The sequence below is a fragment of the Homo sapiens genome, chromosome 17 (assembly GCF_000001405.40).
Source record: "Homo sapiens chromosome 17, GRCh38.p14 Primary Assembly".
In the NCBI taxonomy this organism is placed as follows: domain Eukaryota; kingdom Metazoa; phylum Chordata; class Mammalia; order Primates; family Hominidae; genus Homo; species Homo sapiens.
The window spans coordinates 68,913,358-68,927,184 of NC_000017.11; the positions used below are offsets into that span (position 1 = coordinate 68,913,358).

The window sequence follows — 13,827 nt, forward strand, 5'->3', positions numbered from 1 at the left end:
CAAAACCAAAAGTCGTAGAATAAAAGAAATAATAAACATCAGAGCAGAAATAAATAAAATTGAAATGAAATAAACAATACAAAAAGTTGAAAAATTTGAAAAGTTAAACAAAATGGACAAACTTTTAGCCAGACTAAAAAAAAGAAAAAAAAGAGAAAGACAAAAATAAATAAAATCAGAGATAAATAGGAGAAATAACAACTGATACTGCAGAAATTCAAATGATATTTAGTGGCTACTATGAGCAACTGTATGTCAATAAATTAGAAAACCTAGAAGAAATGGACAAATTCCTAGACACGTACAATCTACCAAGATTGAACCGTGAAGAAATCCAAAACCTGAACATACCAATAACAACCAACAAGATTAAAGCCATAATAAAAAGTCTTTCAGCAGAGAATTCACTGCTGAATTCTACCAAATACTTAAAGAATAACTAATACCAATCCTATTCAAAATTATTCTGAAAAATAGAGGAGGAGAGGATACTTTGAAACTCATTCTATGAGGCCAGATATGACTGGAATATTGATGTGAAAATCCTCATCAAAATACTAGCAAACCGAATTCAACAACACATTAAAAAATCATTCATCTTGGTCATGGTTGGATTTATCCCAGAGATTCAAGGATGGTTCAATGCATGGAAATCAATGTGATACATCATACCAACAGAATAAAGGGCAAAAAAGATATGATCACTTCAACTGATGCTGAAAAAGCAATTGATAAAATTCAACATCTCTTCATGATAAAACCCTCAAAAATCTAGGTGTAGAAGGAACATGTCTCAACAAAATAAAAGCCATATATGGCAAACCTACAGATAGTATCATACTCAATGGGGGAAAGCCTTTTTTCTAAGATCTGGAACACAACAATGATGCCCACTTTCACCATTGTTATTCAACATAGTACTGGAAGTCCTAGCTGTGGCAATCAGATAAGAGGCAGAAAAAAATGGCATCCAAAATGGAAAGGAAGAAATAAAATCATCCTTGTGGGCAAATGATATGATCTTATATTTGAAAAATCCTAAAAACTACACCAAAATGCTATTAGAACTGATAAACAAAGTCAGTAAAGTTGCAGGTTACAAAATCAATATACAAAAATCAATAGCATTTCTACATGCTAACAGCAAGCAAGCTGAAAAAGAAATCAAGAAAGTAATCCCATTGACAATAGCTACAAATAAAATAAGATACCTAGTGATAAACTTAACCAAAGAAGTAAAAGATCTCTATAGTGAAAACCATAAAACATTGATGTAAGAAATTGAAGAGGACACAAAAAGGAAAGATATTCTATGCTCATGGGTTGGAAGAATCAATATTGTTAAAATGTTCATACTACCCAAAGCAATCTACTTATTCAACACAATCGCTATCAAAATACCAATGACATTCTTCACAGAATAAAAAACAAACAAACTAATATTTATATGGAACCACAAAAGGCCCAGAGTAGACAAAGCCATTCTTAGCAAAAAGAACAAAACTGAAGGAATCACATCATCGGACTTCAAATTATACTAGAGTTGTAATAACCAAAACAGCATGGTACTGGCATAAAACCAGACACATAGACCAGTGGAACAGAATAGAGAATGCAGAAATAAATCCATACATCTACAGTAAACTCATTTTCAACAAAGGACCAGGAATATACATTGGGGAAAGTCTCTTCAATAAACAGTGCTAAGAAAACTGGATATCCATATGCAGAAGAATGAACCTAGACTCCTATCTGTCACTGTTTACAAATATCAAATCCAAATGGATTAAAGACTTACTTATAAGTCCTCAACCTAGGAAACTACTACAAGAAAACATTGGGGAAACTTCCCAGGGTATTGGTCTGGGTAAAGATTTCTCTACCCCACAAGCAGAGGTGACTAAAGCTAAAATGGACAAATGAAATTACATCAAATTAAAAAGCTTCTGCACAACAAAGCAAACAATCAAGTAAAGAGACAACTCATAGAGTAGGAGAAAATATTTGCAAACTATCCATCTAACAAGTGATTAATAATCAGACTATATAAAGAGCTCAAACAACTTAATAGGAAAAAATCTAATAATCCAATTCAAAATGGGCAAAATATCTGAATAGATAGTTCCCAAAAGAAGACATACAAATGACAAACAGGCATATGAAAAAGGGCTCAATATCATTGATCACCAGAGAAATGCAAATCAAAACTACAATGAGACATCATCTCACCCCAGTTAGAATGGCTTTTATCCAAAAGACAGGCAATAACAAATGCTGGCAAGGATGTGGAGAAAAGGGAATCATCGTACTCTGTTGGTGGGAATGTAAATTAGTACAGCCACTATAGACAACGTTTTCAAGTTCCACAAAAATCTAAAAATAGAGCTACCATATGATCCAGCAATCCCACTACTAGGTATATACCCCAAAGAAAGGAAATCAATATGTCAAGGAAATATCTGCACTCTCGTGTTTATTGATGCACCATTCACGAGAGCCGAGATTTGGAAGCAACCTAAGTGTCCATCAACAGATGATTGGGTAAAGAAAATGTGGTACATACACACAATGGAGTACTATTCAGCCATAAAAAGAATGAGATACTGTCATGTGCAACAACATGGATGGAATGGAGATCATTATATTAAGTGAAATAAGCTAGGCACAGAAAGACAAACTTCATACGTTTTCATTCGTTTGTGAGAGTTGAAAATTAAAACAATTGATTTTATGGAGATAGTAGAAGGATGGTTACCAGAGGCTGAGAAGGGTAGTGGGGTGGTGGGGAAGGGGGGATGGTTAATGGGTACAATAATACTGTTAGTAGAATGAGATCTAGTATTTGATAGCACATTCTTCACAGATTATATTACATGTGAATATAATTATATTATATTACTGTGACGTTCTTCACAGATTTTATTACATGTACAATATATTAATATGACTATACAGACTATATTAATATTGCAATATATTGTTGACTATAGTCAACATATATTAAAACAGCTAAAATAGTATATAACTGGAATGTTTGTAACACAAAGAAATGATTAATGCTTGAGGTGATGAATACCCCATTTATCCGATGTTATTATGTACCGTATGCCTGTATCAAAATATCTCATGTACCCCCATAAATCTATACACCTACTATATACCCTTTAAAATTAAAAGTTAAAAGATAGAAGGTTTAAGTAAAATAATGTTAAATATCTTATCTGAGTCACTCAGTAAATTACAGTTAGAATATGCTGCTATTCAAAATAAAGATAATAAAATGAAGAGGATGGATGGGAGGAGAAGAACAAGAAAGAAGGGGAAGATCTAGAAGGAGTGGAAGCAAGTAGCCGACTTAAGAATATATTAACACCCTGGGAAGATGAGAGATGATGAAGGTGTAAAATACAAGTGTGTCAGTTGAAAAGATTCCCTTAATACATACCTCCATTAATAAAACCTGTGTTGCAGATATATATTTTTTAGTCATATTTATCTAAACTTTTGTTGTTATATTCTCAATATCTAAAATCTCCAGATCAATATCTCTTACATATACATACTAACTAGGTAGACACAAATACGTGTACATGTTTGTACAAACACCTGTGTATAATAATACAAATTCTTGGCCGGGCGCGGTGGCTCACGCCTATAATCCCAGCACTTTGGGAGGCCGAGGCGGGCGGATCACGAGGTCAGGAGATCGAGACCATCCTGGCCAACACGGTGAAACCCCGACTCTACCAAAAACACAAAAAAACTTAGCTGGGCGTGGTGGCGGGCCCATGTAGTCCCAGCTACTCGGGAGGCTGAGGCAGGAGAATGGAGTGAACCCAGGAGGCGGAGCTTGCAGTGAGCCGAGATGATCGATACTCCGTCTCAAAAACAAAACAAAACAAAAAATAACAATAATACAAATTCTTCTTGTGTGTTGTAATGTTTTGCTTCAAGCATCAAGCCTTACACTAGATCTACTCCCAGCCTTCTTAAGTGACCTTACCTTAAGTGATATCCAATCCCCCATTTCTTCTTTAGAAACAAAGAAGAGCCCGCGCACTTTAGCTTCCCTTGGGAGAGAAATACTTTCCTGTCTGAAAAAGAAGAAGAGCAAAGAAGAAAGTTTGTTAAAAAGTGGCCCATCCATTTCCAAGAAAAGACAGGTAATCATCTATATAATCAAACTTTAATTCAGGAGCTTCTAAGGTTTTAAATGCAGGACTCGATAAGGACTCAATGAAATAGACACATTTTAATCTCGTTTACGTGAATTTTGCAATCCATCCCATCAGGGAGGTTAAATTTTGTGGATATATGTTCTAATATAGAAAATTATCCCATTATATATTTTAACAGATGAAACATTAAAATCATTTGAATATTTCAAGTGGATTTCCCTCAATTCTGAGTAAAAGGATTGATCTCTTAGAAACTCAACTTCACTTATTTTGCAATAAGCGAGTTTCCTGGCAGATCATGCTTCTATGTGACCAAATTATACAAAATTCTGCAAGATACACTGAAATGGTTGCAAGAGGCTTTGCGTCCAGTTCAAATTACCACCAGCCATTCAATTTACCAGATACAGCTAGATTACCGAATTACAAAATATAACTGTTCAGAGACCAATCCATATTTTTAGATCTCTTAAAGTCCTCCTCAGGATACTTAACAGAAACCAGTGATTACCCGCCAGGATGTCGGCCTCATCCATGAACTGGGTACTGAAGAGGATCACGCGGTCTGTTTTGCGTTCTTTCAGAAGGTTCCATACTTGGTGTCTTGAAAAGGGATCCAATCCAGCAGTTGGTTCATCCAACAGGAAAATCTATAAACGAGGAAAGTATATAAGGCGGTTTTCCTCAAAGGTGAAGTTCTTCCAGAAAACAACGCAAAAACCATATTGATTATATTTAACAGAGTATTACGGTTAGGATTTAGATACTCTATTTAATGTTCTATTATGAATATTTTATAACACATGTCCTTTGCGAATAAAATATTTGAACTATTACCAAAAGTTCCATTTTTTAAACTTTGAATTCACCTGCAAATTCAATGTGACTCACCTGAGGATCTCCTAAAATGGCAATCCCAAAGGTTAGCTTTCTTTTCTGTCCACCACTTAAGTTTTGAGCAAGAACATCCTGAATATTTTTCATTTCCAATTCCAGCAGAACCCTTTGTATCTAACCAAAAGACAGTATTTATGTCATACACCAAAATTTATTCCTTTTTTAAAAATTTATAAATACAAGGCTGTAAAGTGTAAATGGTTAAAAGCACAAACACTGGGTCAGGCGCGGTGGCTCATACCCATAGTCTCAGCACTTTGGGAGGCTGAGGCGGGCAGATAACGAGGTGAGGAGTTCGAGACCAGCCTGGCCAACATGGCGAAACCTTGTTTCTACTAAAAATACAAAAATTAGCCAAGCCTGGCGGCGTGCCTGTAATCCCAGCTACTCAGGAGGCTGAGGCAGGAGAATCGCTTGAACCTGGGAGGCAAATGTTACAGTGAGCCGGCATAGGGCCATTGCACTCCGGCCTGGGCGACAAGAGCAAAACTCTGTCTCAAAAAAAAAAAAAAAAAAAAAAAAAGAACAAACACTGGAGCCAAACTTTCCGGGTTTGAATGTCACACACATTGACTACTAAGTTGGTCAAGTTCCTTGCTCTCTTGAACCACATGTATAAAATAGGGATAATAATAGCACCTATCTCATAGGGTTGCTATGAGGAATAAATGATTTATTAGATTTAAAGTTAAGGATATGCTTGGCGCATTGTAAATTATATGCAATGTTAGCTATTGTTTAAATTGGATTTTCTTGTCCAACAATTGTACAATGATTTGCGCACAAATAATTTAAAATTAAAACTCAGTGCAAATGGTTTTAATAATCTCATTTTGACCAACACATTAACTTTAACATATTTTTGTACCTCTTTATCCACTTCTTGTGGCAGAATCCCTTTTATTTTAGCAAAGAGTCTGAGGTTTTCTCTTACAGTGAGGAAGTCAAATTGCACATTGGATTGTGGACAAACTCCGGTCAGCTTGCTGAGATTTTCTAGGTCAGCCATTTCTGAAAGCTTATTGTTATAGATGGTGACTGAACCTGTAACAAAGGAAAAGTTAATATCAAGATAAGGCTTAAGATATTTCTTAATAAAATCGCTGTTAATTAAATGTACGTATGACTTTATCTTGACAGTTTATACAATTCAGGCATTAGAAACTTCTACTTTAGTTGCATAGTATATTCAAAATATGTTCTCATCTGCAGCTTTTCCCATCAAGGTGTAGTCCCTTTGTCTGCCCCTCACATTTAGCTTTGCCTATATACCCTGTAGTATCCTAGCAAATGTGATACAAGCAGAGTCTGATGAAGAGCTTCCACCTAGTGATTTGTCTTTGCTTGCTGCTGGGATCATGGGGATCATTGGGTGAAGAATCCCAGCAGGCCTTCTGAAAGATATATTTCCATGTGGGAAAAGACACGCAGCTGTCCTAACTGAAGCCCCAGATATGTGAGTGAGGCCATGTTAAATCATCCAGCCCCTGTCACTTTGGTCCAGAATAGAAAAACTGCCCAGTCAACCCACAGAATCATGAGGAGCAATAAGACATGAAATCAATTTAAATGCCTATCAAAGACAGACTAGATAAAGAAAATGGGGGTACATACACTCCGTGGAATATTATGCAGCTATAAAAAAGAATGAGATCATATCTTTTGTGGGAACATGGGTGGAGCTAGAGGCTATCATCTTTAGTAAACTAATGCAGGAACAGAAAATGAAATACCATATGTTCTCACTTATAAGAGGGAGCTAAATGATAAGAACTTATGAACACAAAAAGGCAAATCACAGACACTGGGGTCTACTTGATGGGGGAGGGTTGCAGGAGGGAGAGGAGCAGAAAAGATAACTATTGGGTACTGGGCTTAATACCTGGGTCATGTAATAATATAGGCAACAAACCCCCATGACGTGTTTATCTATGTAACAAAGCTTTACATGCACCCCCAAACCTAAAATAAAAATTTTAAAAAATAAAAAAATAAATACCTTATTGCTTAACAAAAAAAAAAAGAGTTGACAGATAGAAGCTGGAATGCCAAATAGCAACTAATGAGCATGAAAATAGTTATTATGAAATACTCAGATTCCATATGCAGTATACCAATTAAATATTACATACTTCCACAGAATATTACTATTAAATAAAATTCCATTTTTCCCTAGGTATGTGTGTTTGTGATTAACACTTGAAAGAATTTCATATTAACAGCTGATTTATTTGTCAATTGACTTTGAAAATAAACTAGTTTTTACCACAGGTGCTGGAGAGGATGTGGAGAAATAGGAACACTTTTACACTGTTGGTGGGACTGTAAACGAGTTCAACCATTGTGGAAGTCAGTGTGGCGATTCCTCAGGGATCTAGAACTAGAAATACCATTTGACCCAGCCATCCCATTACTGGGTATATACCCAAAGGACTATAAATCATGCTGCTATAAAGACACATGCACACGTATGTTTATTGTGGCACTATTCACAGTAGCAAAGACTTGGAACCAAGCCAAATGTCCCTCAATGATAGACTGGATTAAGAAAATGTGGCACATATACACCATGGAATACTATGCAGCCATAAAAAATGATGAGTTCGTGTCCTTTGTAGGGACATGGATGAAGCTGGAAACCATCATTTTCAGCAAACTATTGCAAGGACAAAAAACCAAACGCCGCATGTTCTCACTCATAGGTGGGAATTGAACAATGAGAACACTTGGACACAGGAAGGGGAACATCACACACCAGGGCCTGTTGTGGGGTGGGGGGAGTGGGGAGGGATAGCATTAGGAGATATATCTAATGTTAAATGACGCGTTAATGGGTGCAGCACACCAACATGGCACATGTATACATATGTAACTAACCTGCACGTTGTGCACATGTACCCTAAAACTTAAAGTATAATTTAAAAAAAAAGAAAACAAACTAGTTTGTACCTTTGGTGGGAACAGACAACCCACTAAGAATGTTTAGCAGTGTTGACTTTCCAGCTCCACTGTGACCAAGTATTGCAGTGATTTGGCCTTCGTAAATGTCAAATACCAGATCTAGGAAGAAAAAAAGAAAGGAAAGAAAGATAAGATAAAGGGATGGAAAACAATTAAAACCACAAAAAATATTCCATTATGGAGCCAATGAATTGTTATTAATTCTCTTGAATGGTTGTCTTTTCTATATATAAATATAGTGGGTTGTTAAATTCAAAATAAAACATTAAAAGTTCCCTCTATAAACTTATTTCTCAAAATAGCTTCTTTTGAAATTTTGAAATTACTTAGTTTAAATGAATGAAACATATCTATATAATAGGTTGATTGACATTGCCTGCATATGGTAGGTCAATGTTAGTATTTATTAAATGGAAGAATAGATTAATAGTAAGTTATTACATGGCTAAAACTCCTTTGAGGTAAGTGACATTTTCACACAAAAGAAAAACATACAGTATCTACCAATAGCTTTTGGATTACAGACAAAAAACTTGAGTTTGTAGAAAAAAAAACCCAGAATATCCTTAGACTACCTCAATATTACCCAGTATAGATTCTAAATACATCTATTTCTAAAACATATTCATTTTTTTCTAACTTTTATAAAGTAGAAGCAATACATTAGAAAAAAAAGTCTTATGCAGCTCAAATAACTCTTTTCAAGTCTAAAATACCACCACTAATTAATCACCGAAAGCAAAACTGAATTAAAATCAGGAAATCAATACTAATATAACAAATATTTTCTTTCTCTCTCTCTTTTTTTTTTTTTTTTTTTTTTTTTTTTTTTTTTTTTTTTTTTTTACCTTTCAAGGCTTCTATTTTATCAGGCTTTCCTTTATATTCTTTTGTAACATTTCTGATTCTGAAAAAAAGAAAAGATACTTCAAAGTGACAATTTTCTTCAGTTTGTAATTTCCAGTTTGGTAGACAGGATTGGATAAATCTTAACTTCAGGATACATGAAGATCTGGGTCTTCACTCTCACACAGTCATAGCTGTGTGACAGAATCAGCTAGAATACCGCTTGCCAACCCTGTCTGCACATTGGCGTCATGTGAGGAGTTACATGTGAGGAGTTATAAGAATTTCACTGTGATTGGGACCCATAAGCAAAGGTTCCATAGATTGGGGTATAAGCTAATATTAGTATTGAGAACGGGATCACCTCTGAACTGCAAAGCTAAGAAAGCAAGGCCAAGAGATGACATGGACATTCGATACCCAAAGGCTCCTGTGAACCACTGGCACAGGTTGGAAAGATCTTTGGCCATCCTGATTCAAGGTCTCCCAAGGTTCATTAAGAACTACAGTAAGAAAGACAATCAATGTATCATAATAGCAAGAGCATGGGGTTCACAGTACTGCCCATCTAAGCTTATCCCATTACAACCACTTAGTGCTCTGTTACCTTAACCAACGTACTTATTCCAGATCAGCTTCAGGTTTCACAACCTGAAAATTTTTGCAGGGCTTTAGGGCTGTGTTGGAAGGCAAGTAAAATATTTCATCTCGCATGTACAGTGCATATAAGATGATATTGGTTACATGGTGATGATGGCTACAGAAAGGAATGAAATTAACTTATGCTTAGTACTATTATAGGTCTGGAATTCTAGGCGATAAATCTGCATGGTTTTATTCTACCAGGTAAGTATATAATCCATAGGCCAAATCAAATTTATGTTTCTTATTTTATCATCTACTATTCATAAAATATTCAGTCTCTATTCATATAAAGCTATTTAATTAGATATTATTATTATTATTATTTTTTTTTTTGAGAGAGAGTCTTGCTCTATCACCCAGGCTGGAGTGCAGTGGCACAATATTGGCTCACTGCAACCTCTGCCTCCTGAGTCCAAGCGATTCTTGTGCCTCAGTCACCCAAGTAGCTGGGATTACTGACGTGTAGCACCATGCTTGGCTAATTTTTGTATTTTTAGTAGAGATGGGGTTTTGCCATGTTGCTCAAGCTGGTCTCAAACTCCTGAGCTGAAGTGATCCACTAGCCTCAGCCTCCTAAAGTGTTGGGATTGCAGGTGTGAGCCACCGCTCCTGGCCAAAACTGTCTCGTTAAATATTCTTATTTTAAATTCCATTTTACTCTCATTCCACAGCACTTATAATTGGGCAAGGTGTTAAAGCGATCAAAGAGGAACAAAAAGAAACACACAAGCACCTCAAATAAAGCCACTGTTTTGCTCTGAGCTGCTCTGCTAGAGTAAACCTAGCTTAGTTGTGGGACAAATAAAAATATGGAAGATAAATATGGAACAGGTTAAAAGAACAAAATGAAATGGGCTCCTTAGAAGTTCAGCAACCTGGGATAATCTGAGACATTTCACAGGGGACTGACACAGGCTGGTCATTGATGATGAGTATGACTTGGACAGCCAAGGATCTTAAGGACTTTCTTCCTATTTTCTCATATCTAGAAATAAAAGTCACCAGCACCAAACAAAATGGACATTTTGTTGTCACACAGAATGAGATAGGCTTAACTCTGCAGGGCACCTCTCCCTGAATTCCCTTTGTATCTACCTCTAGGCCTTTTCTTTGTCCTTCTTTCTTACTCTTTCATCTTCTTTTAAAGGACAAAAAATAGAAGAAAAATAAGAAGTTTAAAAAGTGGAGAGAAAAGGCCAGGCGCGGTGGCTCATGCCTGTAATCCCAGCACTTTGTGAGGCCAAGTGAAGTTGGGTGTTAAAGACCAGCCTGACCAACATGGAGAAACCCCGTCTCTATTCAAAACACAAAATTAGCTGGGCTTGGTGGTGGGTGCCTGTAATTCCAACTACTTGGGAGGCTGAGGCAGGAGAATCGCTTGAACCTGGGAGGTGGAAGTTGCAGTGAGCTGAGATTGCACCATTGCACTCCAGCCTGGGCAACAAGAGCAAAATTCCGTCAAAAAAAAAAAAAAGGGAGATAGATGAGGTGGGGACAAAGAGTGAATAACTGAGACCCAGAAAGCAATGAGGGTGAAGAGAAACAAGTAAAAGACTGAATCCGGGCAAGGGTTTTGTTGAATTATCTTAGCTGGTAAAATTTAAGCTTTTATTTAGTGTAAATGTCGACAATGTTAGGCTGTAAGGGGTTGGTAAAGGGATCTTTCTTTGAACTTGAGATGGAAAGTGACAGAAGCAGCATAGGTGAGGACAGGTGGGAACTGTCTACAGAGCACAAAAGGGAACACTGCTTGCCTCAGGTGCTATCTCTTAGCTTCCTGCCTTTTTGCCCTGTTCTCCACCTGCAGCCTTATTACCTGATGGCTTCTTTCCCTTGGAATTCTGGAGGCGCTTGTTCAAAAGAGTCATGAAATGAAGGATCGGCATCCATTTCATCTTCAAGGGCCACGTGATCAGTCTTTTGTGTTTGAGACCAAAATGAGGACTTCAGGAAAAACAAAGGTGGACGTCGATGTCCATATTCATCTACATGGCCAGAAGACAATTAAATATTGGGTCAATGACCACGTTAGGGAGAGAGAGTCACAGTAATGTAGCACGGCAACACAGCCCTTTGTTGCTAAACCTGAACATGTGGTCAACAGCAGGTAATGCACGTTTTGACACATGTAGCTTCATAAGGAAAAAAAAATACCAGATGTCTCTACTATAATAAATCCTATCGGAAGCAATGAAACTGTGATTTTTAAATATTTCAAAAGGAATTTAAATAAATGTTTTAGAATTTCTTAACCTCAAGAAAGACAGATTGAATTGCTAATGTAAGATATGCAGGCATGCTGAATTCTGTCTAGAAGACCAGGTGTCATTACATAGGCAAAGAAAGAAGAAATTGAGAATGACTATTGGATACCTTTAAAAAAAATCCAAAAGAAGATAGAATAGGATTTAAGAAAAGTAAATGACACATTTGTAAGAAAGAAAAAGAACACGATAAAATAATTAATTGAAACTTAACACAAAATGAATACTTTTAAAGCTATTTTGTATTTCTGCTTTATTTCATTCCCAAACCATAATTTTCCTCTTAAGCAAATTTATGATCTGCTTTAAAGACATATTACTCATAAACATCTTGCTGGAAATGAATCCAGCTGTATTAGTATTCTATGATCACTTCTGTTTTTCTTCATATTAGGAAACATTATGAAACGGAAGAATCGTACTTCACTAATATTCTGCAACTATCCCCACTGTAAGGTTATGGGTTTTCAAACTTCTGTGTATTTCTCACATGTTCAGTCCTTCATTCATGCAATAAATGTCTTACACTCTCTGTATACCTGCCACATGGTATGTTGTTAGCACCTATCTCTCCCTTTTGACAAAAGAAAAATCTAGCAAATAAAAGCATGCCACCATAACTGGATACCTTCTGCCACCAGATTTACCATGAAATAATGCTGTCATTTTATCCAGTTAATTTTTCTGTCATTCTTATTTATTATCTTTAGAAGTGTTTTGAACAAAGTCACCTCTGGTCTTAAGTTCAAGCTTAGTGAGCAGAGACAATTAGGAAGAAAATGGAGCAACTCACTTATTTGGATGAAATAAATTTTCTAGTTATAATAATAAAATACTATGCTTTTGAAACTGGAAAAAGCATGGATGTGAAAGATATTTTTGTGACATAATGTTAAGTAAAAAATAAAATGCAGCCATGAAAATGTAACAATATGTGATATAACTTGATAAAACATGTACAAAGAGAATATTTAAAGTAATATCATTAGAGTATGTTTGAAACAAGGACTAAAAAAAGATGGAATATATCACATAGTGCACACCAAAATAAAATTTAAATTGGTTAGAGAAAACAATTACCTAAGAGGATACTAATAAGCAATTGTAAACACAGTGACATCTGTTTGTGGATCCACTGAGAATAAACACATTGGAAAAATAAACAAAAATGAAAAATAATACAACCAGGATGTTTTAATAAGTAGAAGGAGAAAAGGAAGAATTAGTAAGCACAAGGGTCACACGAGTAAATTTCCTGAACTATACACAGCATGCCAGGGATATACAGTATGATAGAAACACAAAAAAAAGTCAGTGAGATTTTGCCATAAAAACAAAAGTAGAACAGAGAAAATATATTTAAGTATGTGTCTTAAATAAGCAATGTTAACAAGGGGTAGAAAGCCTTAAAATATTAGTAGGCAAAAAAGTAATTTTTCTAATCAGTTATGTAATTTTTACCTCTACTGGAAAAAATCAAATGAAAACATACCATATTCAAACAATTCTAATTGTGTAATAAGTGTGCTAGCCAACAATAGTGGATCCTGACATCTTTTGTTCTGGGTTCTTTTAAAAGGAAGAGACAGTAATTCTTAAAGGATTGTCTTAAAAACAACAAAAACAAAAACAAAACAGGATGAATTTCCTGCCTCAAGATGTGGCTGTCTTCCTGCTCACCCTTTCCCCTTCTTCCCTTTCCAAAAGTGTGTATTCATTGCTTTTTGAATAAAGGGCCCTTGGCATTCTGTCTTGAATAGGAAACGCAGAAGGGAGAATCAGGGCCTGCCTTTGGTTATAAAAGGAGGGAGAAAAAAGTGAAGCAAGCCGGGCACTGTGGCTCATGCCTGTAATCCCAGCACTTTGGGAGGCCGAGGCGGGTGGATTACCTGAGATCAGGAGTTCGAGACCAGCCTGATCAACATGGTGAAACCCCATCGTCTCTACTAAAAACAGAAAAATTAGCCAGGCGTGTGGCACACATCTGTAATCCCAGCTACTTGGGAGGCTGAGGCAGGAGAATTGCCTGAGCTGGA

At 36.1% G+C, this 13,827-nt stretch overlaps 1 protein-coding gene across 8 annotated transcripts in view; it reads right to left on the reverse strand.

Annotated features, from left to right (window-relative positions):
- Positions 1-13,827, reverse strand: part of ABCA8 (ATP binding cassette subfamily A member 8) — an 88,104-nt gene that overhangs the window by 46,069 nt on the left and 28,208 nt on the right. For 6 of the 8 annotated variants that reach the window (NM_001375771.1, NM_001288986.2, XM_047435108.1 and 3 more), the window contains 7 exons: positions 11,344-11,512; positions 8,885-8,943; positions 8,025-8,135; positions 5,944-6,119; positions 5,070-5,189; positions 4,690-4,828; positions 4,004-4,094 (listed from right to left, as the gene is read on the reverse strand). In NM_001375771.1, coding sequence (NP_001362700.1) covers positions 4,004-4,094; positions 4,690-4,828; positions 5,070-5,189; positions 5,944-6,119; positions 8,025-8,135; positions 8,885-8,943; positions 11,344-11,512 — 865 coding nt within the window. The remainder of the gene's footprint in view (positions 1-4,003; positions 4,095-4,689; positions 4,829-5,069; positions 5,190-5,943; positions 6,120-8,024; positions 8,136-8,884; positions 8,944-11,343; positions 11,513-13,827) is intronic. The other 2 variants (NM_001375772.1, NM_007168.4) reach the window with 2 other exon arrangements.